This window comes from Homo sapiens, chromosome 12, assembly GCF_000001405.40.
Source record: "Homo sapiens chromosome 12, GRCh38.p14 Primary Assembly".
In the NCBI taxonomy this organism is placed as follows: Eukaryota; Metazoa; Chordata; class Mammalia; order Primates; family Hominidae; genus Homo; species Homo sapiens.
In genome coordinates this window covers 59688030-59712649 of record NC_000012.12, presented here as the reverse complement: position 1 = coordinate 59712649, position 24620 = coordinate 59688030, and the positions used below count along the sequence as shown (strand labels likewise).

Genomic DNA, 24620 nt, shown 5'->3' with positions numbered 1-24620 from the left:
CTGAATGTTTTTCTTGAGGAATCTGCTTCTACACATCAGTAGTTTCTGAATGAAAACGGGCCTTTCTACACCGGGTTGACGGAGACTGGGTCACATGCCTGTGCCCTTAAGTGTAATAAACTCTGAGAAAGTATATTTCTGTCTTTTCCCTTGGGGAGTCAGAAAATGGTGATGTTGGGAATTCCCTAAACATAGAAGGATTTTTCAATATAGGATGGCCCAAAAAGAATGACCAATGTCTTGTCCACTATTCAAATCATAGGAGGCACAAGAGAAATGCCACGGAAAATATGGGTAAAGGGCATAGATTTCTTTTAGAAATGATTATTGACCCTATTTATTTCTTGCATTTCCAGTCGTTTTTAAATGTTATTGGCACAGATTGCTTGAGTCAGACTTACTATCTTCTTTGTTCCTTATCTGCAGTTTCACTGCATAATGGAGAATATCAAGAACAACAGCAGCAACAACTGCAGTGAATCAAAAACTACAATTTCCTAAGTATCGTATTTGGTGTTTATTACTAATAATGACTCTGAGCAGGAGAGTGTACATTATACATACACACACACTCACATATGCACTCATAAATGTATATATTCTTGTGTGATTTTTACAGATAAGGAAACTGTGTCCAAGGTAAAATGGCAAATAGGCTGAATGACCAAGTAGCAAAGTCTCAATTTCATATCTGCTATTAATATTTTGGAGCTCACTCTCCAACTATAATGCTCTTCTGCTTCTCATTGCACAATTACATAATTAATAATCCATTTTGAGATCCCAGTACCTTCCATATCTATGTTCCACTCTAGGCACCAACTCACATAAGATGCAATTAGGGCTGGGTGGGTGTGGTGGCTCACATCTGTAAGTCCAGCCCTTTTGGAAGCCAAGGTGGGAGTATGGCTTGAGTCCAGATGTTTGAGACTAGTAAAACCTCGTCTGTACAAAAAACCAGAAATTAGCTGGGCATGGTGGTGCACCTCTGTAGTCCCAGAATATTCAGGAGGCTGAGGCAGGAGAATTGCTTGAGCCCAGGAAGTCAAGGCTGTAGTGAGCCATGATCACACCACTACACTCAGCTTGGGCAACAGAGTGACCCTGTTTCAAATTTTAACAAAATGCAATTGAGTCCTCTGGGTGGCTACTAAGCATTATATTTCATGGCTACTAAGCATTATATTTCATTAGGCAATAGTTTCCAAATATGATATATGCATTTTGACATGTAACCTATCTATGCAGCTTGCTAGCTAGCTATAAAGTATCTACATGCAAAATTCCCCATGAGTGACTAGTAAAACCCAACACATTTTTATTCTTGAAACATAACATATTAATCTCTTTAAAAAGACTAAAGTAGTAAGTGCTTATTGTTAATACTTTGTCTCTTCAGAATCCTTCCTTCTTCTGGGAACAGTAGTGCCCTTCCATTACGGAACTGCTCGTTTCCTATCTCAGATACATAGTTCCACTCAGGCTGCCAATGTTAGTCCCTCATTCACCCACTGCCTGCAGGGCAAATGCAAAGTAGGCCATGTCCTAGCAATCTTCCTTAGAATTTGTCAAAGTATAACTTAGGGAATAGTGGCAGTCTTCCTAGTGTCAAATTTGAGCTGAAATATGAGGCTGAAGTGTTGGTAGACATCTTCCTTGTGCCAGGGGAAGAATATCAACATAAATAAACAAAGCTGCCCTCTGGAAGAAACAGAAGAGAGAAGAGAGAGTGTAACATGCTGGACAAACAGAATTACTGGTGCTAGTTGAGCTGGAAGACATTGGTGTCTCTGCTTCTCCTCTGATTTGTATACATGAACATTTCTCTTTAGGCTTTAGGGTATCTGTATCAGGTTTCTGTCATTTACAACAAAAACACATCTGCATAAAGTGAGTAATGATATAATAACATATTTTTGAAAATTTTTAAGCCAAAAATCAGGAAAGATAGTCTTATTCTTGTCAGGTCATAAATTAATAAATAGGTTCTTTTTATACATCAGTAAGTGAAAGGTTCACTGTCTGAGGCACATATATCAGTCAGAAAAGATTTCAATAAAGGTTCTTAGAATTTCTGTTGAAAATAACATTTAGTAACTATCTGATATTATTTGTACTAGATTATCAGCCCTCTGTAGGGAAAGTGTGTCCTGGAATAATTTCAAAGGCTCTAAGCACACTTCCAATCTGTTGTTGACCTCTGTCCCCTTTCATCCCTGTTTTGGAAGAGACACACAGATTTCATCATAGAAAGCTCCAGGGCCATGATTCCATTCCTACTTTGTGTTTTGAAGTCCTTGCCTCTCACTTTTATTCCATGAAGACTGGCAATGATAATATCCACTCACAACTTCTTTTTCATTTGAGAAAAATGAACATGCTCTGAACACGCTCTGTCTTACTCAGTGACCCCACAGTAGTGATTAATAGGTTGACTGCTAAGCCCTAATGAATGTGTCAGATCTTAGGTGTTCTCTAGGCTACCAAAGGATACCTCTTCTCTAACAGAGATCTGATAGAGTAGCACTTGTACATTTCATGATATAATATAAGCTAAATTGACTAAGGCTATCTCATAGTGTGTTCTCATCCCATGTAATAATTTATATAACTTATATTGTTGTTACACAATAAACCAAGCCCTCATGTTTGTAATGATCAGTATAGTCTATATAACTGTAGAGAAAGGGAAGATGCATGCCAGATCAAACCACCTTGTCCAGGAGGTGTCCAGAGGGACAGATGTCCTTCCGCTTATATTTAATTGGTCAGAACTAGTCACTTGGCCTCAGCCTAAGGGGAGGAAAGCTGGGAAATATAGAGGAGTGCATGGATGCACGGTGAGCATAATAGTTTCTGCCACACTGTACCATATTTCATAGAAAGCTTTAGTAATATTTATGCCTACAGATGAAAAAAAGAGTCTAACATGGCATAGATATAAAAAGTCCACAGCCTACTTGCACAGGGCTGTCAAAGTGTACCTGGTACTTTTTGCTTTTTATAAATCTAAGATGAAAGCTCTACCTATCTCAAACACAGGAATGGAATGACTTTCTTTTTTTATTGCTGCTAAGATATTGCACAGCATGAATTATTTTAATAGCCTCCCTCATTCTGCAAAATATTAGGGCACAATGTAGAATAATATATTGAGCTTATTTAAAATTTTAAGAGAATAGAAAAATACATATTGTACATTATGACCACCAACCTGCTATGTTAAAGCCTTTTGCTTCTCGGCCTCCAGTAAAATAAGCTCAGTGTTCTAATGTTCAATCCCCATGTAAAGTAGTTCATCACAAAACTATCACCCTTACTTTAGCACAATTGGCCGTCACTATTCACATAAAACAGAAAAATAAGTTACCATGGAGACAAAGCCAATTCTTCTCTCCAGAATGGCTGATTCTTCCAAGTCAGAATAGATTTTTACCAGAAAAGTCATATAAAGTACTCACAGAAACTGGCAGTCCAAATCTGTCGCCAGTAACTGTAGAGGTAACCATATATAGATTATCATTCAATAGAATACAAAAACAAATATTGCACTAAAAGATAATCCTATGTAATCACTATTTACAAAATAAAACCCTATGTCCTTCTAAACAGTGTAGAAAGTTTAAATTATGTTTTCTACCTCTACTTAGTGCTTTATTAATGGGGTGACCACACTGTTTGACCTATTTGCTAAAATTTGCTAGATCTCCAGGAGAACATATGGACATCCAGATGGATTGCTGTAATGTGATGCCATTATTCTAAGGATGAAGTAAGGTATAAACATAATTTGCATTCTTTTCCATCCTTCCTGCGAACCTTTCATTAGTTTCATTTTTAATTCAGACATCAGAAGGGAAGATAATACCTTGCTACCAAAGCCCAGATACCAACTAATTACTACAAGAGACTCCAGTCCTGACATCACAGGCCAGGCCTCTGAACATGCTCCATCTTACTCAGTGACCCCACAGTAGTGATTAATAGGTTGACTGCTAAGCCCTAATGAATGTGTCAGATCTTAGGTGTTCTCTAGGCTAATGCAATTAGCATTGTGTTGAACAGAATATTTCAGCTACTTGCTAGAGAGACTCATTATACTTCACAGTAAACTATGTCTTTTCACCTTTGCTCTCCAAATTTTTTTTATAATCATCAACCTAAAAGGCTCCTATAAATATATTTCACATAGTGTAAGAAAATTTAAGTATTTTAAAATCAAATAGTGATTTTCTTCTACAACAGTGAACCCCTGTGTTGTATATAAAGTGAAGTTGTTTTCAGAGATGCTTGTTAAAATGCAAGTTTCTGAACTCTAACAACAGAAATCCTGATAAAAGGGGATTTGGGATAAGGCCTAGGACTTCATTTTTAACAAGACTCATGACTCAGAAGCTAAGCATTCTGTAGACCACAGTTGAAGAAAGACTGCAATGTGAGTAACAGGACTAATACCTGTGTCTTAGATTAACTGACTATATCAGACTTTTTGTTCTAAATAGTTACTATGTTTCTGAAAAAAAATTATCTGCATCCACATTAAGAAAATTATTTCCACATTAGATTATAATTTTAAATGTGCCAATTATTTTTGGTTAAAAGATTAGAAACTAATTATCAGGATAAGACATAGATGTTATTTCCAACAAACTATGTAAACGTGTAAGATCTATATTCAACAGTGGACATGGCAGGTAAAAGCATTTTCATCCACTAGACAATGGGCCTAGAATTGTGTTTCCAGTTTTAAAAGAAGGACCAAAGGTGAGCAGAATTTCTGCAATTCCTGACTTTTCTCTATGGCCAGAGATGAAACATTTGCATGTTTTAGCCCCGATAATGGAGGACTTTAGGCAATATTCCAGGTACTTACTTGGATCTCACCTAGATATTGCCTTCATCAATTACTAAATACCAAGAATTTGTATGTATCTAGCACTGCTTTCACAAAACAAGCATATATAAAATCCCTGTTAATATTTAACTTAGACATATTTTATTCATCTATCACCCTAAAAATTTTAAGGCAGCTTTTTCCAAATTTATAACTATTTTAACAAACTACCATTTTCTTCATGAATTTCAGAAGAGTTCTTTTGTGCTTTTAAAAAATTATACCATATATATTAAAATAGAAAAATAAGTATGAATAAAATAAAAACATTTATTTGTAGTAAATATAGTATATTTACTTTTTATAATTTCATATTGAGATTTAGTGGTTTGAGAAAGTTAATTATGCCATTGTTCATTCTAATGTTCCTTTTAGATCCAGCCAGAGGGTGGAGGGCTGTCATAGGCAAGTCTATAAACACATGCTTCTTTTGTTCAATGGAGAATATTGAGATACCAGGCTCTGACTAGGACTGGCTAGATGTTATGTAGTTCTGTTTCTTCCTTTGGGAAGGCTGTATTTCCCAGCATCCATGGCCCCTAACTCTGGGTAGGGCAGTATAAGAGTTCTGATCAATAGAATATGTACAGAAATAATGTTTATTCCTCCCAGGCATACCCCCTAAAATAGTCCATATGATCTTCCATGCTGTCTGCCTTTACTATTTGTCCAACAGATGGAGCAGATTTAGGGAACAACATACAAAGCCTTGGGTGATGGAATAGCCACTTTTTGAAACATTGCTTCAGAAAGAAATAACCTGTATTGTTTTAAGTCATCAAGACTCTGAGGTCTGAAAACTAACAGAGAATGTAAATTAAGATTTGGCTTAATTAAAACAGTATATAAAATTTTGTCCTACTGATGAGTTAGTCAACTATCTGCTCAATAAGGAATTATGACTATGTAAGACCTGAAGTTCAAATTCAATGGACTTATATTAATTCACTAGAAGAGACTGTTTCAATTGTATTTAAGAGGCAAGAAAACCCTCTACATATCTTAATATTAGCACGTTTTGGAGCTGAAATCAAGATGACTGTGTGCTGCTCTAGCAAAACATTATTAAACAACACCTGTCCCACAGGATACAGGAATATCTACTCTACAATACCTACTGTTTCTATGGTCACAAGAAATAACATTCTTACAATCTATAAAGCAACTGTCCAAAGGAGATTCATAGAATGTGTGTTAGAAGTAGAATTTTCCATTGACACGCCCAAATAGTATTTAAAGGATACCTTTTGATACTGGAAGAAAAATGCATGTTTAACCTAACCAAATGAATAAGGGAAACATATGCTGTATTAATATAAAGTCACTATATATAAAAAGTATAAAACACATTCCAACACCAACACACATAAACACACACACACACACACACACAGGGAATTATTTCAGGATCAACTGTTTACCTTCGTAGTACAACAAAAAGATAATGTCCTAAAGAATAATTATTATGTCACTGAACAAATGACATTGGTGGAGGTGGTACACAAGCCACTGAGCTGAAGTAGAAAGAATTGAATCAGGTTTATAGAAGGCCTGGGCCAGATCTGGCTTTGTCACTCTCTAGATGTAAAGAGAAAGTTATGAGAAAGTCAGAGACCACAGGTGTTAAATGCTAGGAGTTACAGTCTCTGTTTACTACTAACAAGTTGTTTGACTTGGGAGAGCTATTGTATATATTTCCTTAGCTATGGAATAAAGAGAAGATAATACTTATTTCACGGATCATTAAGAGGATTAAGTCATATCACACATATTAAGTACTTAGGCCTTGGGTGAAAGTAAATATTACTAAATACTGGATATTATACTAATGTTATATTTTCATGACTAAGAGCCATATTATCCTTACTTGAAAAATAAGAAATCACAGAAGATAATTGATATAATTTCTTTAAATGACTATAGTCTGAGTCTATATCTATCCCTTAAAGTCAAATATCCACTTGAAAAATAAAAACGCTAAAAGACATATTTTAAGTAATGACTTTCAAAAAATTCTACAAGAGAGTCTGGTCTGCTATTGAGATTGATTTACAGAAAATAGATGACATAATAAGGCACCAATAATTCCAAATTTGCAACATTTAGAAGTGGGATGGTACTTTGATTTCTTCATTATCCTTCATGACTAATACCCTCATTTGAACATAGAATGTAATAAGATAATTTCCAAGCAACAATTTAAGTTAAAAAGATGTCCTATTTAATGAGCCTTATAGAGATAAATAATTATTTCAGTCACACAAATTTGAATGGGTCTAGAATGTACATGTTAACCCTTCATTTTTGCAGCTTAAAGTGATGTACTTTCTGGGCTTATAAACTGTCAGCAACTTAAATTTTCTTCTCATTCAGAAGAAAGCATTTCTACCAGAGGTAGCGATTGTGAAAAATGACATCAGCAATATGTTGTGGACTTTATTTCAAACTAAATGAAGTAGCCTCACTTAGAAATTCCATAATTTAGTAAATCTTGCTTTGTGCTTACAAATTCTTATTCAAACAAATCCTCCATTAAGACTCAATTCGAAGCAAATAGCTTAAGATGCTGAATCACTAAAATCATTGAAATTTCAGTTCTAATTATACTTTTGATTGGTTTTAAGTGACTATAACATAAAAACAGGGTTTTAATATACCAAGACACTCCATGTAAAACATTGTGACATGGAGGAATTATTTTCTTAATTCAGGATTCTATTTATTGCAAGAAGCTTACCTCCTGCGTACATAACAGCCAGCATAATGGATGAAATCCATGCTATTTCACTGTAGGTAGTGTGGAATATTTGCTGAATTTCTTTGAAGAATACGGTGACAGCTTTGGGGAATGCATAGGAAAATCCAATGGAGATAAAAGCTGCTCCAACCACAATCCAACCCCATCCTCCATCTGGAGGTGGATGCACAGGTGGGGCACTTGGCATTGGTGGCATTTCTGCTCCTCTAGTGGAAATTCAAGTAACCTATATTAAAATAATGAAATAACAGTTTAAATTTTATTTCCCCTTTTGTTTACCACTCTTCATAGTCACTAAAATAGTACTTTCCAGTTAAAACTACAATATGATTTTTCATGAATATTTTTCACACTCTTATACTCAGAAAATTACCAGAAAATGTACAAAAACAATTGATGCAAGTTATATACCTTTGATTATTGTGGGCTAAATATTTAAATAATTTAATTTGATTATTGAAACAAAAATTACTCAAAGTGAAGTTAAGAATTTAGATCTGAACTGAAGTACCATTTTACATTATACATCAGTCATAGCTCTAAGATAGATCTGATACATATTCTACTTCAATCACCAGTTGTTTTAACCTCATTAATTGATACTTTTGGTCTCATTTTTCCTTCCTGTTTAAGGCTAAGCCAAGGAACGAAATGATGGATGCAAAGCCTTTTGACATGATCTATTGGCTTTTTTTATTGCTTTCTGTTGTCTACGCTTTTTGATGATTGTAGAGATAATTCTAACTCACTTTTTTCTTTTTCTTTTTTTTTTCTTTTTCTTTTTTTTTTTTTTTTTTTGAGACAGAGTCTCACTCTGTGGCCCAGGTTGGAGTGCAGTGGCATGATATTGGCTCACTGGAACCTGTGCCTCCCAGGTTCAAGCGATCCTCCTGCCTCAGACCCTAGTAACTGGGATTACAGGCAGGCGCCACCATGCCCGGCTAATTTTTGTGTTTTTAGTAGAGATGGGGTTTCGTCATGTTGGCCAAGCTGGTCTCGAACTCCTGACCTCAGATGATCCACCCACCTCAGCCTCCCAATGTGTTGGGATTACGGGTGTGAGCCACCGCATCCAGCCCCCACTATTTTTAAAAAATAAAAATTATATATTTAAGGTGTAAAACATGTTTTGTTATACATATTCATAGCAAAATGATTACTACGGTCAACCTAATTAACATAACCCTTGCCTCATAGAGTTACCACTTTTCTTTTTTGTGCTCAGAACACCTGAAATCTATTCTGTTGGCAAATTACCAGTATACTATACAGTATTACTAACTATACTCACCCAGTAGTTCAAGGCTGCAGTGAGCTCTGATGGAGCCACTGCACTCCATCCTGGGTGACAGAGACAGGCCCTATCCCTAAAATGTTTTTTAATTAAAGTAAAATAGCTAAATAAGACTTTTAATTGCCACAATGATTTGTACAGAAAATATCTCCTTTTTAAACATTTTTTATAAATATATTTTACATGTCTTCTTCACATACTCATACATCAAAAAATTAGCTTTTTTATATATTTGCTTGTATCTATTATATATTTATGGGGTACAATGTGATGTTTTATGTTTATTTTTTAAAAAGCAGTCTCAAATTACTCTTTTATAGGAAGTAGAGGTATAAATGATAAATGCACCTACCATTCTATTAGACAACGTAGGTAAAACAAATTTTAAAAATTGTTAAATGGTATGAAAAAGGCAAACCCTTTTGATTTTTCCAAGAAATTACAATAAAGTAAAATTTAAAGTTATTCCTGACTAAATACACACATATAAAATATGGCTTTGGATACAGTGGCATTAATTTGATGGAATAGTTTCAAGAGTTCAAATTACTTATCTTATTGAATTAATGCATGATACTCAAAGTAACCTATAATGTAATCTTATAGGTATACAAAAATGGATAAGGGGATCTCACTCAATAAATACTGTGTACTTATTATGCTAAATAAATGCTTTTTATTTTCAGTAAGTATTTATTCAGTTTAGTTTCAATAAAAGCCTTTTAAGGTATTTTTTCTATTTTTTAAATGTGACAAATTTCAGAGATATTAAGAAGCCTGACCTAAGTAAAATAGTAATAGCAGTGACTGGATTTCACTAATCACTGCTGACTCTACAGATAATATAAATAGAATTAGAAATAAGACTGCCGAGTGATGTAATTTAGGGAGAAAAAAAAGCAAGCAAAAAAATCCTCGGCATTTTTATTACATCCTCTCTGCATATCCATAGTATTCTTTTTATTGATCAAAATGGTCATAGGCATCTGCTTTTCAAAAAATGAATAAAATAACTTGAAAGATTTTTTATAGGTACACATTTGTATGTTAGAAGCCTACCAAAAAATGTCATGGAAACTATAGTGACAAGGTCAAATGAAAGGCTTTAACCACAAACAATTAATGCACATAATGTAGATCCTAGTCAATCACAGTAATTGGGGCAAAGCCACTTCTATAAGTTAATGTCGTGCAGATGCTAAAATTGCTAAAATCAACCCCAAATACCACACCTCTCAACAATTATTTTGAGATGGTTTGTATGTTTTCAGCATGTGTACAGCTTGCTTTTGTAATCATTTTTGCTTTCTTAGAAACATAAACGTTTTCTGTCTTCTATCTATCTATTCATCTATTAATTGGAAGATAGGTTTATTTCTCCTTGGTCATCAGTTAACCTAACATGATGAGTTTACAGCACATGTGCATTGGAAATAGTATCTTTGAAGATGTATAATATTTAAGGAAAAAAGAAAAGGAAATAAATATTGTAGGTATTAGTGAAACCAGTTGAAAATAGCAAATGATCTTTGAAAGTTGTCTAAAGAATCTGAATCTATATATTACTAAATTTTATTACTATATTTTAAAGTACCTATTTTATTGCTTGAAAATTAAAAAAAGAAACCCTAGAAGAATACTGAGGAAATACCGAAGGACATTTATGTGGTAAACTACTCTTTGTTGTATAATCAGCGTGTAAAAACAGTTATGGGGCTTAAAGTCCTCACTCTGCAGTTTTCCTGCTTGCATAAAGAAAACTAAACCATCTTTTATTACTAATTCTTGAGTTTAAACTATTGTAGTTTTTATCATATCTGCTATAGTAAACATTCAGAAATACAACTGGATTATTTATTTTTCACTCACTTCAAAGATCATAAATAACATTTCTAAGTAATCTTAAACCCATATTTTAAAATAATAACATCAATACAAATATTATAATTTGTTAATATTCAAATCATGTTATAAATATGGGATTTCCATTTTACAGACAGGAAACTATGCCCATAGGAAAGTAAAGAGGTGTGTGCAGACTCACACAATAAATAGGTGTCAACACTAGTATAAATTCTATGAATTAGAATTTTCCCAGCATTTAAATATGCCCCCCTTAAGAAATGTATCACTCTTATATTAAAATAATTTGAACTTATAGACCCTTTAAAAGCATTCTACTTGGTTTGCTCCTATACAAAGAATAAAATAGAAGACAGAATGTACACACACACACACATATACACAATTCTATTTTCTAAAATTCTAGTTTATTATGAAATTGTAAATTTAAGCCTATTTTCCTTTACATGGTTTCATCTTGTGGCATGAAAATTAAGCATAAGAGCTTCAAATGCTACGAATACTGGCTCCATCATTTACTCTGTAACACTTAGTAAAGTAATAAAACTGAGTCTGTGGTTTCATCTGTAAAAACAGGTTAATAACTATATTTAGTTTACAAGGTAATTAAGAGCATTGACAGAAGACTACATGTAAATGGCATGACTAATACGTACTAGACAAATTTACCTATCATCCTAATTTTTCTTAAAATTATACATAAAATGAAGATGAGTGAAGATCTTAAAATTACATTTTTGAAGAGAAAAAATATATATGTGGCTTTCCAAATTACATGTCTTTTATTACATTTAATGTAGAAGCTATAACTTTTAAAAGCCAAATCTTAAAGTGAACTTTGCATGACGATCTCATCTTGAGCGTCGAAAAAAATTGCATGGAGTACCTACCTCACAAGAGTAATATAAGAATTAAATGAAATAATGTATGCTTGCCTCAGATTAGTCATCTGTACATAGTTAAGTGTTCAATAAGTCATAGTTGGGGCTGAATGTGAAATCCTCCAGAGTTTCTCTAAAAATATGAAATAATTTTAGGATCTTCAGAAAATAGCAATAGCCATTTTTAATCTAAACACCTCTGTGTGTTCCTCTCTGACCACATCACTCTTTCTCTACCAAAAGGCAACAACTATCCCGAATTGTATGATGGCTTTTAACTTAATTTTATTTATACTTTTACCATATATGTACGTGTGTATATGTATATGTGTATGTGTTCCTAAATTTATATGTAATACATAAACTAAATATATTACATTTTATATAAAATTTGCATTACCTAAAATATATATAGATCAAAGAGTCAAAATTAAATTCTTAATAATTAATAATTAAATAATTATTTAATACAATTATTAATATTTCAAATATATATTAAATTTTCTATATTATATGCATGTAATAATATGCATATGACATATATAATCTTGGAAACAGTTTTTAAATTTAATATTATAATTTTAGATTCAGACATGATGCACATAGACTTATAAATCTGATGTCACAGAGTACAGTTGATTCTCATTATTCATGGAAGCTGTGTTCTGTAAAGTCACCATGAACACTGAATTACCAAATGCTGAACCGCTGCACATAGTAGAAAAACAAGGATAGGTTTCTGTGAGACTCTGATCACATTTTCATCAACCAATCAATACAAAACCTTGTTTTATGTGTGTTTCTGTTTAAAGACACCTTACTTAATACATATTGCTGATTCACTGACATTGAACTTACAGCGAATAGCGCTGTAACTCATGTCTGGATGAAGCTTATCTAACACAAGTATTTTTTCTATAAAACACTTCACAGTTTTCTTGTACTGAGGAATGCTAGAAAGCACTTCAGCATTACTCTTAGGGACCATTTTAAACAGCAAGATCACCAGCAAAAAGCACAAAATGTGAAAAACATGGTATTAGACTATAAAAAGAATACTGGTTTACAGTATGAGAGAAAACTAAAACCAGAAGGCAGGGTCTTGCCTTGTTTGACTTCAGCTGGGAATGTAAGTGTTGCATAACAAATTTTTTTGCTGTTCTGTGCATGTCAGCAAATGATTGCAAAAGTGCTGTGAATCACAAATTTCTGTGGATATGCAAATTTACAAATATGGAACCACTCATAATAAGGATTGACCATATGTCATTTCTGAATATACATGTGTATGTATCTATATCTATATGTAACCCATAACTATGTATAGAGATTTGGACTGTCTCCAGTTAGATGTCATTATACTCCTATGAACATTCCTGTACTTTCCTCTCTTGGGGCATTTGTGCAAATAATTCTTCAGAGATACTGGACAGGAATTATAGAAGATTTATTGTAGAAATTTACACTGAAACCAGCAGTGCATAAGAGTTCTCCTTGTCACATATCCTGACCAATGCATAATTTTAAAATTTTTTCTAATGCAGTAGACATGAAAAAATTCATTGTAGTTTTAATTTGCATTCTGTGATTACTAATAATTTTGAGTATCTTTTCATGTAGTTAGAGCCATTCTGTTCTTTAAATATCAGTTCTTTTATTTTACTAGTTATGCTTACACCAAAGGAAAAAAGCTTCCAACTTGTCCTTCTAAAATTTGGAAGTTTAGGCATCATATTTATACTTCAGTAATTACCCTACACATTTAAAATAAATTTTCACTTAAAGATTAAAATCAATAACTATTTATCATTTGCCAAAGATATAAATACTAATTAGTAATTTAAAATTTTAAAAATAAAAAAATACGTAAAGAAAAACATGCAAATCACCCACAATCCTAACACTAGAGTAAACTATGTAAACATACTGGTGAATACTCTGCTATAGCTTCAGTTATACATGTTTACATAATACATTTTATCCAATTGAAAATGACAACAATTTTAAGTTATATCAAAATTACGTGTATAAATATGTACTAAAAGAAAACAACTTCTAACTCATTAGGTATTGCTAAATATTTTCACAATCGGATTATGATTCTTCTGAATCACTTTTTGAATCACAGTTTGCAATAGCTGTGTTTTCTTACACAATATCCTCCTCTGGCCTATAAAGAGCATCCATGGTTTGGCATTTCTACAGAGTACTCCATTACTGTCTCTAGGAATTTCTTTCAAGCTGCTTATGCCATTTTAAATTTTGACACTGATGTTCTTCATCTTACCAGAAAATATCAACAGAAGATATTCAGTGAACAACGGAACTTATATTCCTTCCTCTAATGGTCCACAAACGGTTTATTGACTGAAATATCAAAAGACTGAAACTGTACAATCATGATCAGAAACAATTAATAGGCATAGGCCATGACTCTGCCATTCCTGCCACCTTAGCAACAATGATCATAAGATGCCATCCAGTGTAAGACATCTTCATTTCAAAGATGTTAAAATGTGAAATATGTGCTTCTTAGAATTGAAGAAACAACAAATGCAGTAAATATTTACCTGTATATATGTATATTCAATGTGTGTATATATTTATGTATATAAATTTAATAAAAATGTGCTATATAGAAGTACAGTTCTAAGATTTGAATATCTCATTTATTTGGATTTCTTTAAAATCATAAATAGTTGCATAATCAGTTTTAACAATATTTCCCTAGTTAATATTCTATAAATTATTTCATAAAAATTCAGGACTGTTTAGATTCTTATCTCAATATTATAAGCTATTGTAATAAGTACTTTTCTTATAGTTCTGATTTCAATTTGAATCGTAGGAAAACATAGATTTTTGCTCCAAATTCCTGATTCTCCCAATGAATAATTTGGAAACATCTACAATATTGTTGCCTTCAAATAACATTTCTACTGATTTATTTACTACCCATCTTTCCCATCAGAGTCTAAGATAACAAGTCAATTATTGTACCCCAAGTTCTCAGTATAGTTATTAGCATATAATAGGGTAAATAAAAGATAAATTGATCAATAAATAGCTATAAATATTTGAAATTGGAAAAAGAAAACATTTCACCCATTATGCCATCTGCTGTCATTTTATCTCTGTAAGTATGAAGTTTCAGGTTTTGTTTTGTAACAAAGATAAACAGAAATAAACCAAAATAAAATGTTAGGCCCATATATGTTTGTTTGAGGCAGACTTTTTTTTTTTTTAACAGTCTTTTCTAGACAGGGGCAGCAATATCAAGGCAAATGCTGGTAGCAATTATAGTATAAGTGCCTGAGACGAGGTTGGCTTTAGATAACATCCTAAATGAAAAGTAAAGGAAAGGAATATTTGCTAAATATATCTTGACTACAGTATATACAAGTAAATGATGAGGCCACCATCCAAATTCAGAAAAGGACTAAAAATGGAAGCATCAGAAAAACGGAAAGAAGTAAAAATGGATAGTAATAGCATATACTACCAGCCTTTTCCTTCAACTCTTCCCATTTTTCTATCTCAAACTCACATACACATGTGCACCCACGTGCGTGTGCACATGCATACACACAACTACATATCCTCCTCTAAGTATCAATCATATCCCCAGACATATTTTAATGCACAAGTGTTCTTTCGTTAATGGTTCTGAATGACAATAAGTGACCTGCACATCAGCCTTCCATAGATAATCAACTGTTTCACATTTCTCTACATTCTGGCCTGAAGGAATATCACCTAGGAATTCTGATTTATATTCCCTATTAAATTCATGTTTTTCTAATGTACTGTATGTTAGTTCTCTGAATTGTCAACTACTTAAATTGTTCCTGCTTTGTTATAAAAGTGAAGCTATTTTCTCAGATGCTACACAAATCATTCCTTTCAAAAGTTTCCTTGCCTTTAAATAAAAAACATATGATTAAGCGTTTTTTCTCCTTAATCTTTTCTGTTTTGTATTACTTGTTTTTCCATAGTTCATCAATTTATTTCTCATTTATATGAAATTTTACTTTCTGTTTTCAGCATATTTCCTTGATTTGAATGATAACTATGGGTTCCAGGGTGCAAGGCGCCACTCACATACTTCTTCATTTTCTTATCTACTACTTATTTTGTTTTTCTTCATATAAAATGACATCTTATGATCTCTTAACTGATCCATTAGAAAAGAGACCCAGAACCAATCAATTCCAAAAATTCCAATTCCAACACTGTCACCTCTTCCTCATTAGTGACTCTTGAGTTGACCAATTGTCAAGATTCAAGTCATACACACTCTGGCTTCATGCCTTTTTTTCCTATGCCCAATTCTGTAACATTTTCATACAATTTATATCTGTTGTGTCTTATTTCTTTTAACAAGCACAGCTTGTAAGCACAGCCAAGAAAAACAGAGTTAAAAGTATAGTTTTACGTGTTGATAGATGTCCACTTGAACAGATTTCTTTGGATTATATGTGGAATCTTTAAGCCTAGTCACTAAACTTTGAAGAGTGATATTTGAAGGCAATACAAAGGAAAAGATGTAGAGTAGATTTTGGATTATCTAAAGAAATAGAAAACAAATTGTTACATGCATATTTGAATTCAATAAGCCTAATTAGAGCCACTGCCTTTAAATCACCTCAATAAATTTTGAACATCTTTTAATAATTAGCAAAATTGAATATATCTTCGTCAATATAATAATAGAACTAAGATATGACTAAAATGACCAAACATGCGCATGAGAAAAAATTAAAATAAAAAGTATAAGATTAAAAAAATTAGGTTTTGTTGAAAAAAACAGTAGATTACAAGCCTATTATTATAAGAAAGAAAATTCTTATTGGCATTCACTATCTGTCACTTAAATAATTACCTATACTCATTTAAATAATTTTCTCTAAAATTCAATTAAATAAATTAAATATCCACTGACAATGAAAATAAAAAATTAAAATATAAGTATTAGAAATACTGTCAGTAATATACATGGCTTATAATAAGACAGACTGGGTTTTAGGAAGGAAACAAAAATTATTTTAGAGATCTTCTGATTTAGAATTCACACTTCCTAATCAAATCGGGGCGACAGAAAAATATGCTAAATCTCTAATCCATCCAATATCTTTGTTTCAATTTAAATATGGTGCTGAATATATAAAATTTAGTACCTAAGAGTTTGTTTTGTTTGGACCAAGGCTTTCTTTGCCTAGATCAAAACTAAGAAAATGTCAATACTTTGAATTAAATAACCAGTGTCTGCCTTATATCCAGGGCCACCTATTCTAAAGTGCTGAACAAAGGCAACACAGCCACCAGGTCAAATGACGTTTCTATGAGAGGATGAAGCAAGTGTGATCTGCATGCCAAGTCCATGAGAAATGGAGGGTGGGGACTAGGAAGACTATGAGTAAAGAGGCTTAAAAGTCAGGGATATGAGAAATTCATAAGGATGGAACTAAAGGTCTAACTTGTGGTAGGAATGAAGAGTTCACACTAAATGGGTCTCCTGGGCCTGGGATTAGAGCAGTGAGAAGAGGCTCATACATCAGCTCTGGTCCTACCAGGAGGCTTCGGACCCATCGGTGGCTTTTTAAAGCTGGGTAATTCGAGAACAGCAGCTCCATCCCACCACAAGTAACCAGCTCATCCAAAGGTAGAAAACCTTTATATTTTGAGGAAATGTATTTTCTATCTATTTCCTCTGGCAGGGAGAACTTCCCTGGCTTCAAGGCAAAGCCTCAGAAGACAGCCTAAGGCATATCTAAAAATTAGGTTTTGATCTTTCAGTCTATGTGCTTAATTACACTCATAATTTATACAGGCTCCATGTGGCAGCCCTCCAAGAAAATAGAAAAAAAAATTAATATAATTTATACAGGCCAGCTTAGGGACCAGATAAAAGAGATCTTGACAAGTCCAAATTATATATGCTCACCAACATTTCTGTGAAATTTCACAGCACCTTAACATAATTGACCCATTTTCTTCCAGAAAGACTAACTCACATCCAGAGTTCCTTTCAACAAATGGGTAAATAATCCAGGAAGACTCTGCTTGACAGTTATATCTATATTAATCTATGTTACATCCTTTTCTTTACATATATTAACTATCATATATTTCATATACACTTATGCAGATATATTTATACAATGCATTTACTAATCTTTAGTTTTAAAAATGAAAGGTAGTGTTTTAGTGGAAACATTAAAGATGAGGAAACATAGAAGCAGAGAATAGTATAGTTGTTTCCAGGTGACTAGAAGAGGAAAATGGAGAGGAATTAGTCAAAGAAACAAAGATAAAATTATGCAAGATGAATAGATCTTAGAGATCTACTGTACAGCATATTATCTGTAGTTAACAATACTGTATTGTACACTTAAACCATGTGGAATGAGGGTAGATCTTATGTTGTGTTCTTTTCAAAATGTAACAATAATAAAGAAGGCAGGAGCAAACTTTTGGATGTGGATATATTTAAGGCATATATTGCAGTGACGGTTTCATGGGTGTACACTTATCTCCAAACTAACCAGGTTGTATACATTATAGACAGCTTTTTGTATGTAAATCATACCCCATTAAAGTGGTTTAAAAGTTTTTTTAAAAAGGTAGTGTTTTAGAGTTTGTGTGTCTGACTACAAAGCCTGTAGAAAACCAACAATCCTTAAGCCAGTGAGAAGGCTTTCCTTCAATTTGGAAAAACCATTATTTAGAGGACTGCTTCCTGAAGTCCAAGTAGGCATAAAGCTTATTCCCCCTACAAAAGTAGCTTTAATTATTATAGCCAGAAGTTGGGCTTTGTCATCTGCTAATTTTGATCCTTAGTAATCACACACATGCCATATGATTTATGATTGGCTTTACTTGTAATAGGGTGCATAAAAATAAACAATGTTTTAGAGCTTTTTATTTTTCTAAAAATACAAATAATTTATTTTCATAATCCCATGAACTCCAAGGAACTGGTATTTTGAATCACGTTTCATAGATGAGGGCATAAAGGATCAGAATTGCAAAGTGACTTTTTTAAGTATAATGTCTAGTAGGTGACCAAATTGCTACCACAACTAGTATTTTTTTTCATTAGGGCTTTTGTTGCTGATTCCACTATAACACAACATGAAAGCTAACTTTTTCTGCATAAAATTATACTTCTTCGATTTTATTCCTCTGGGAATTTCCAGATTTCAGTTCTTGCGCATGTCCATTCTGATGGTCTTGTTCATCAGAATTTATATTCTTATCTTTGGAATTCAAAAACTACAACTATCCTTCAAAGTCTTTTGAAATTCATCATCTTTCCAGCTTATTTACACCTGTGCTGTCCATAATGTTTTTGAGTGTATAGGCTCCAATATAATATCACTGTTTACAAGAGTGACCTTCAGGTGTTTTTCAACAATTTATGTGGTGGGATGGACTGAAGCCCAATAACTTTGCCTTTTCTTTTAGAATCAATACGGGTTGATTAAACTATGGAGAAAAATATGTAACACATAGGAGTAATGAAACTATTAGTGATGATCCATGGCTAGACTATAATATTTTATTCAAGACTCTTTCAGTCACATAAAATATTAGAATGTTCCTTTATTTATTTTGTGAATAATCTTTCTTCAACTTTTGAAACCTAAACCAGCATGCCTCCATTCTATGAAGTCTTACCAATATTCCATGCTATCCAGAAGTTTATATTTCAAAATACAGTTTAGAAATAATGTACTCAGCAAACTAAGTCCCAAAATAATCAATAGTTCTTAGACTATTGGTTTCACTATAAATTCCTCTAGAAGCCCTACAGTTAAAGCATGAGTTTTTCTCTACATCCTACTTATAAAGTGTTTATAAGTTATATTATATTATGTTTTCACCTAAATGAATTAATTTGTTCTCAAAGAATAATTGTCTGGTTTTTTGGCTATTTTCTTTTTTTATACAAAAGGATATAGCAACATCAAATTAATGTACAGTGTTTAAGTTTAGGTGACAACTCACCCAATTTTACAACAGAAATTAAATTGAACCAAATCTTTTCTTTCCCAACATGTAATTAAATTAAAATTGGACTCTAATCCCGAGAGGCTATTTTATTCTTCAGAGTGAACCATCTCTTAAATCCTATTGACTAATTTACTTTGACATCTAGACAAGAGAGATATCAATAGCTCATAGACCACAAAATGTCAGTAACACAAAACCTGTTTTTAGACTACACTATTGCGGTGGTTAAATGACTTTGAGAATGCTAACTGGCAATAAGGGTCAAACTAACTAAAAATGCTTTATAATGGGCAAGTTAGAAAAAAATAATATAAACCAGTATATAATTATCTATGAAGAATTGGAAGTACACCTCCCATACAAAACAATTCCCCTGATTTCTAATACAGGTTGAACATCCCCAAATCCAAAAATCAGAAAAATTATGCTTCAAAATCCAAAACTTTTTGAGTGCCTATTTGACATCACAAGTGACAAATTCCACAGCTGACCTGGTTTCAAGCATTTCGGACAAGATATACTCAAACGGCAGAATTGTGTGTAAAAAGTTATAATAGGGTGAATGCCAGCTATGTCCATGTCTGGATCCCCAGAACTTGTAATATTACCTTATATGGCAAAAGAGTGTATAAATTAAGGCTGTTGAGAGAGAATCTTACCCTGGATTACCCAGGTGGGCCCTAAATGCAATCACATGTATCCTTATAACAAAAAGAGCCAGAGGGAGTTCAGAGACACACACACAGAAAGGAAGACGCAGAGAGAGATGTGATGTGAGGATGGAGGCCCAGCAGAAAGTGATGTGACCACAAGCCAAGGAATGCCAACTGCCACCAGAAGCTAGAAGAGGCATGGAACAGAGTCTCCCATAGAACCTTTTTAAGGAATGTGGTTCTTCACCTTGATGTCTAGAAATGTAAGAATATAGTTCTATTGTTTTAAGCCACCAAGTTTGTAGTAGTTTGCTACGACTGCCCCAGGAAACTAGTATAGTAGTAGTGGTGACTCATTTATAAAAGCCATTAACCAAGCAACTGCACTACAAAGATGTTTTTCTTGTAGGCACAATTGCACAGGTATGCAAAGACACATGATGTCCAGGGCAACATCATTTATCACTGTGGCAAACTGAAAGTCATTAGAAAATGTATAAATTGTACATTCATAAAAAGTGTTAATATCATATAACTATAAAATGAATAGGCAGATTTACATGCACTTATACAGCTAAAATGTTGTTAAAAGTGTAATAAATGAAAAAAGTAAGATGTAGAACAGAATATAATTATTTTAAATTGTATACACAGAAAGACTACTTAGGTTGAGAAAAGAAAACTAGCTCAGAGCAATCTGAGCAACATGAGGTATCCAAAATTTATCAGGCCCAGAGAGACATGAGTATGAGACTTCAGTCAGCCCAGCCCCTCTTCCCCACCCATGGTGGAGGCAATTGTTCAAAGTAATTTTGTTCTTGACTAGCTGCTTCATCCATTATCTTCATGTTCTGGAGTTTGTCACACAAAACAAACAAACAAAAACAACATATAGCCAATCAATAGCTGATGTTATTTTAATGTAATTTTTTTTGTAAACAACTCAAGAACCCCCTCTTCTTTTAAAAATCCACTTGTAGACTGCCACTAATTGGAGTGTATATTCGGGGCAACTGAATCGATGCTCCAGAGCTGCAATCCGCAAGCTTGGTCCAAATAAACTTTCTATGTATATTAATTTTTCCTCAGCTTCTTCCTTTAGTGAGATAATGTACATATATTTACATATCTATACAAATTATGCCTTTGGAAAGTGACCATGTATGATTTATATATTTTGAAATCTTTAAATATTATATAATGAGTAAATCTTATGTTTCTATTAAAAACTTGCAAATACAAAAATGTTGAAATACAAAACTTTAGTATGCAAATATAAATATATTTCCTTACATGTTTACTTGGTTGTGAGTTGTACTTCTGTTCATATTAAATATAAAATTTTCTTATCTTTTTTTCTAATGATTTTCTCCTTGTAGCTAAATTTCTATCATACTTGAGGAAAGAGAAATCGATCCGTGCTTATAGATATTATCTAGTGTTTACAGAAGACCGGAATATGCCACCCCAAAATATGCCTCTTTAGCATAAGGATTACTTTGAGCTGATTATTTTGAGAACCAGCAGACACAGGAGAAGCTCTGAAAGTTAAGTCACCCTTTTTGTAAGGGAAATTTATATCTATAAAGGAAATTTCTATTTTTAGTGGTGTCTCCCTCTCTGCACCAGGAAGAGAAGAACAACTAAATAACTAGAGACTTACCAAAAGAGAAGGCATGGACTTAATCTGTGTAACAAACCTTATCATTGTTTATATGCTTTTTCTAGGCATCTCCACATAACTGGCCCTTCCTACACTCTTCTTTCTTTTTATCAGTGGACAATGGTATTAAAGCCTGAATTCAAATCCACCTCCTTGAGATTTACTCATTTTTCTGGGTATCTCACAAGTATAATGATGTACATACTTTAATAAACTTCTTTTTGTTTTTCTCTTGTTAATCTGCACTTAGTTACTGGGGTCACAGCTAAGAACTCAGAAAATATAGAAAGAAAATTATTTTTTTCTTCCCTTACATAGGAAGCCTGAACAGTGCTGAACAGTGCTCCCCTCCTGAAAAGGAGAGTCAGCCCAAACTTTTAAATATGATTTTCATGTCCTTTAGGGAAAAATTTATCTGAGAGTTTTACATGTTACCATGTGTGCAGTCTTTTCTTCTCTCCCAGAGTCATGGCTTAGGGAAATTACGTATATGGCTCTACAGTAAAAGAGGATGATAACAATCATTGTGTGTATATCCCGTTTTGTTTTTGTTTTTCTCCTTCTAAAGCTTTTAAAGCCACAGAATCCTTTCTAGGAATGAAATCTTACTCAGAATCCTGCTATGCAAACCAGCTACTCTGGTTTATGGGGTTGGAAGCATCATAGAGAGCCTGGAATTCCACTTATCAGCATCCCCTGACTCCTGAAATTGTCCCTGGTTCTTCCTAGAAAGTTTAGAATTCCTTAGAGCATAGCTGGGAAGCCACTTAATAATACTTTTCTCACCTTTCAACTTAGGAAAAAAACAGAATTATATTTAAGAGATTTTGGATCCTCCATTTTGCATTAGTTTCCAAAGATTCTCTGGTGTTTTGGTTCTTTTCTCAATTTGAAAGCATTAGATCATTAACTGGCACTACGGAAGAGGAGTTAAAGAAAAATTCCTGGATACTTCTAGGAAGATTACATGGCCAAAGAATACCTTTCTGACTTTTATATTAAAATGCCCATTTTAAAAAATCAAATAAAAAAAACCCCACAGGATCTCCTGATATCAATGATGAGATTCAGAAAGATGTTAGAATCCCTTAAGTTTCTAAAAAATACAGTATCACTGAGGCAGGATTAAGAACAGTACCACAGCAAGGTGAACCAACCTGGCGACAGGTGTTTAGAAACATGGTCTTCCATTTCACCAAGACATAAGTTTCCCTGATCTATGGACTCCTCTCCCCACCTGAGGCAGAAGTTTCCTTGTGAACCATTGCTCTTTTTAGAATCCTGAACATACTTAGTTCCATCTATCTCTTTGTCACTCAACACTTTGTCAGCTAGTCTCAGGATTCTATGACCCCTTCCCCTAGCTCACTTGAGTAATCATAATATGGGAAAACTAATCTAAATGCCAACTCTGAGAAGCGGTTGCATATATTACTGTCATTCACTTGATAAACTATTATATATACATTAAATAATGATTAGGAAAGCTCCATAATACAAAGGGAAGTATTTATTATATAATTTTTAGTTTAAAAATAGTGATATAAACCTGTATGATAGCATAATTCCAAATATGTGATAAAAGACACATGTCAAAAAAACATAAACATAGGCTATAGAATTAGGATAAGGATTGCAGAAAAAATTATAATTCCTTAATTATATTAAGTTGATATAATACCACTATAATGGCATAATATATACAGTACTTAAATTAATATTACACATTTACTTATTTGCCCTAATTTTGATTTTTATGTCTGCTTTGAAAAATAGGTTGCTTTTAACTAGTCCACAACTGATTCAAATATAGTTTTTGTAAGGAAACACAATGAAACTGGAAGCTGTATTTTATTTACAGATCTTACCTACGTTGTTTTAAGTTTCTCCTTTTTTGTTTTATATTGATTTGTCTTTAGTCATACCTAAATGAAATTATGAGACTCCTGCATAATTGTAAAGAGGATACTCACAGACAGTCACCACATAAAAATTTAGATATAAATAACATTTGCTGATTACCAATTGCATATATATAAAACATTGCTGCCACCTGTTATGGTACAGGTAAGTATCAATAAGCAAGACACTTAACAATTTAATATGCATTTTCACATAATACTATCTTTTAGCTATTGTCTTCATTTGGCAGGCAATGAAAATAAAGTTCAAAGATGTCAAATATCTTGTTCAAAGTCTTAAAGTCTACCGCAGTATTCGTCTCACTCTAGAACTATGTTTTTAATGAATTAAAAGCCATACACTTCCTACCAACTTACTATCTTTCATTCATGAACTCCTTAAAGTGGTCATATTGCCACTCCTTCTCCACCCTCTTGTATTTTGCTTGTTCTAATAATGGCTTTCCTCGTGGTCACTTGCCTGGGTTTTCTGCCTCCACCATTCCAGCTATGTGCTTCCCCAATGACTTCAGGAGACACTCAATTAGTTGGTAATTATCAAAAGAAGAGGAGGAAATGAAAGCTGGAACCCACAGAATGTTAACTATCCACTGGAGTCAGAAAATAATACCAATAATCAGGATTATGAAAGAGCCATGTTGAAGGGAAGGAATGTAGAATTCATAGGAACTTAATA

General features: G+C 33.1%; 1 protein-coding gene across 12 annotated transcripts in view; it reads right to left on the bottom strand.

The window, feature by feature from the left end:
- SLC16A7 (solute carrier family 16 member 7) overlaps positions 1-24620 on the bottom strand; it is a 193813-nt gene that overhangs the window by 77192 nt on the left and 92001 nt on the right. For 6 of the 12 annotated variants that reach the window (XM_011538989.3, NM_001270623.2, XM_011538992.3 and 3 more), the window contains one exon: positions 7632-7878. In XM_011538989.3, coding sequence (XP_011537291.1) covers positions 7632-7848 — 217 coding nt within the window. In that variant the 5' untranslated portion in view covers positions 7849-7878. Of the gene's footprint in view, positions 1-7631; positions 7879-23179; positions 23281-24620 lie in introns of those variants that run through there. The other 6 variants (NR_073056.2, NR_073055.2, XM_011538990.4 and 3 more) reach the window with 3 other exon arrangements.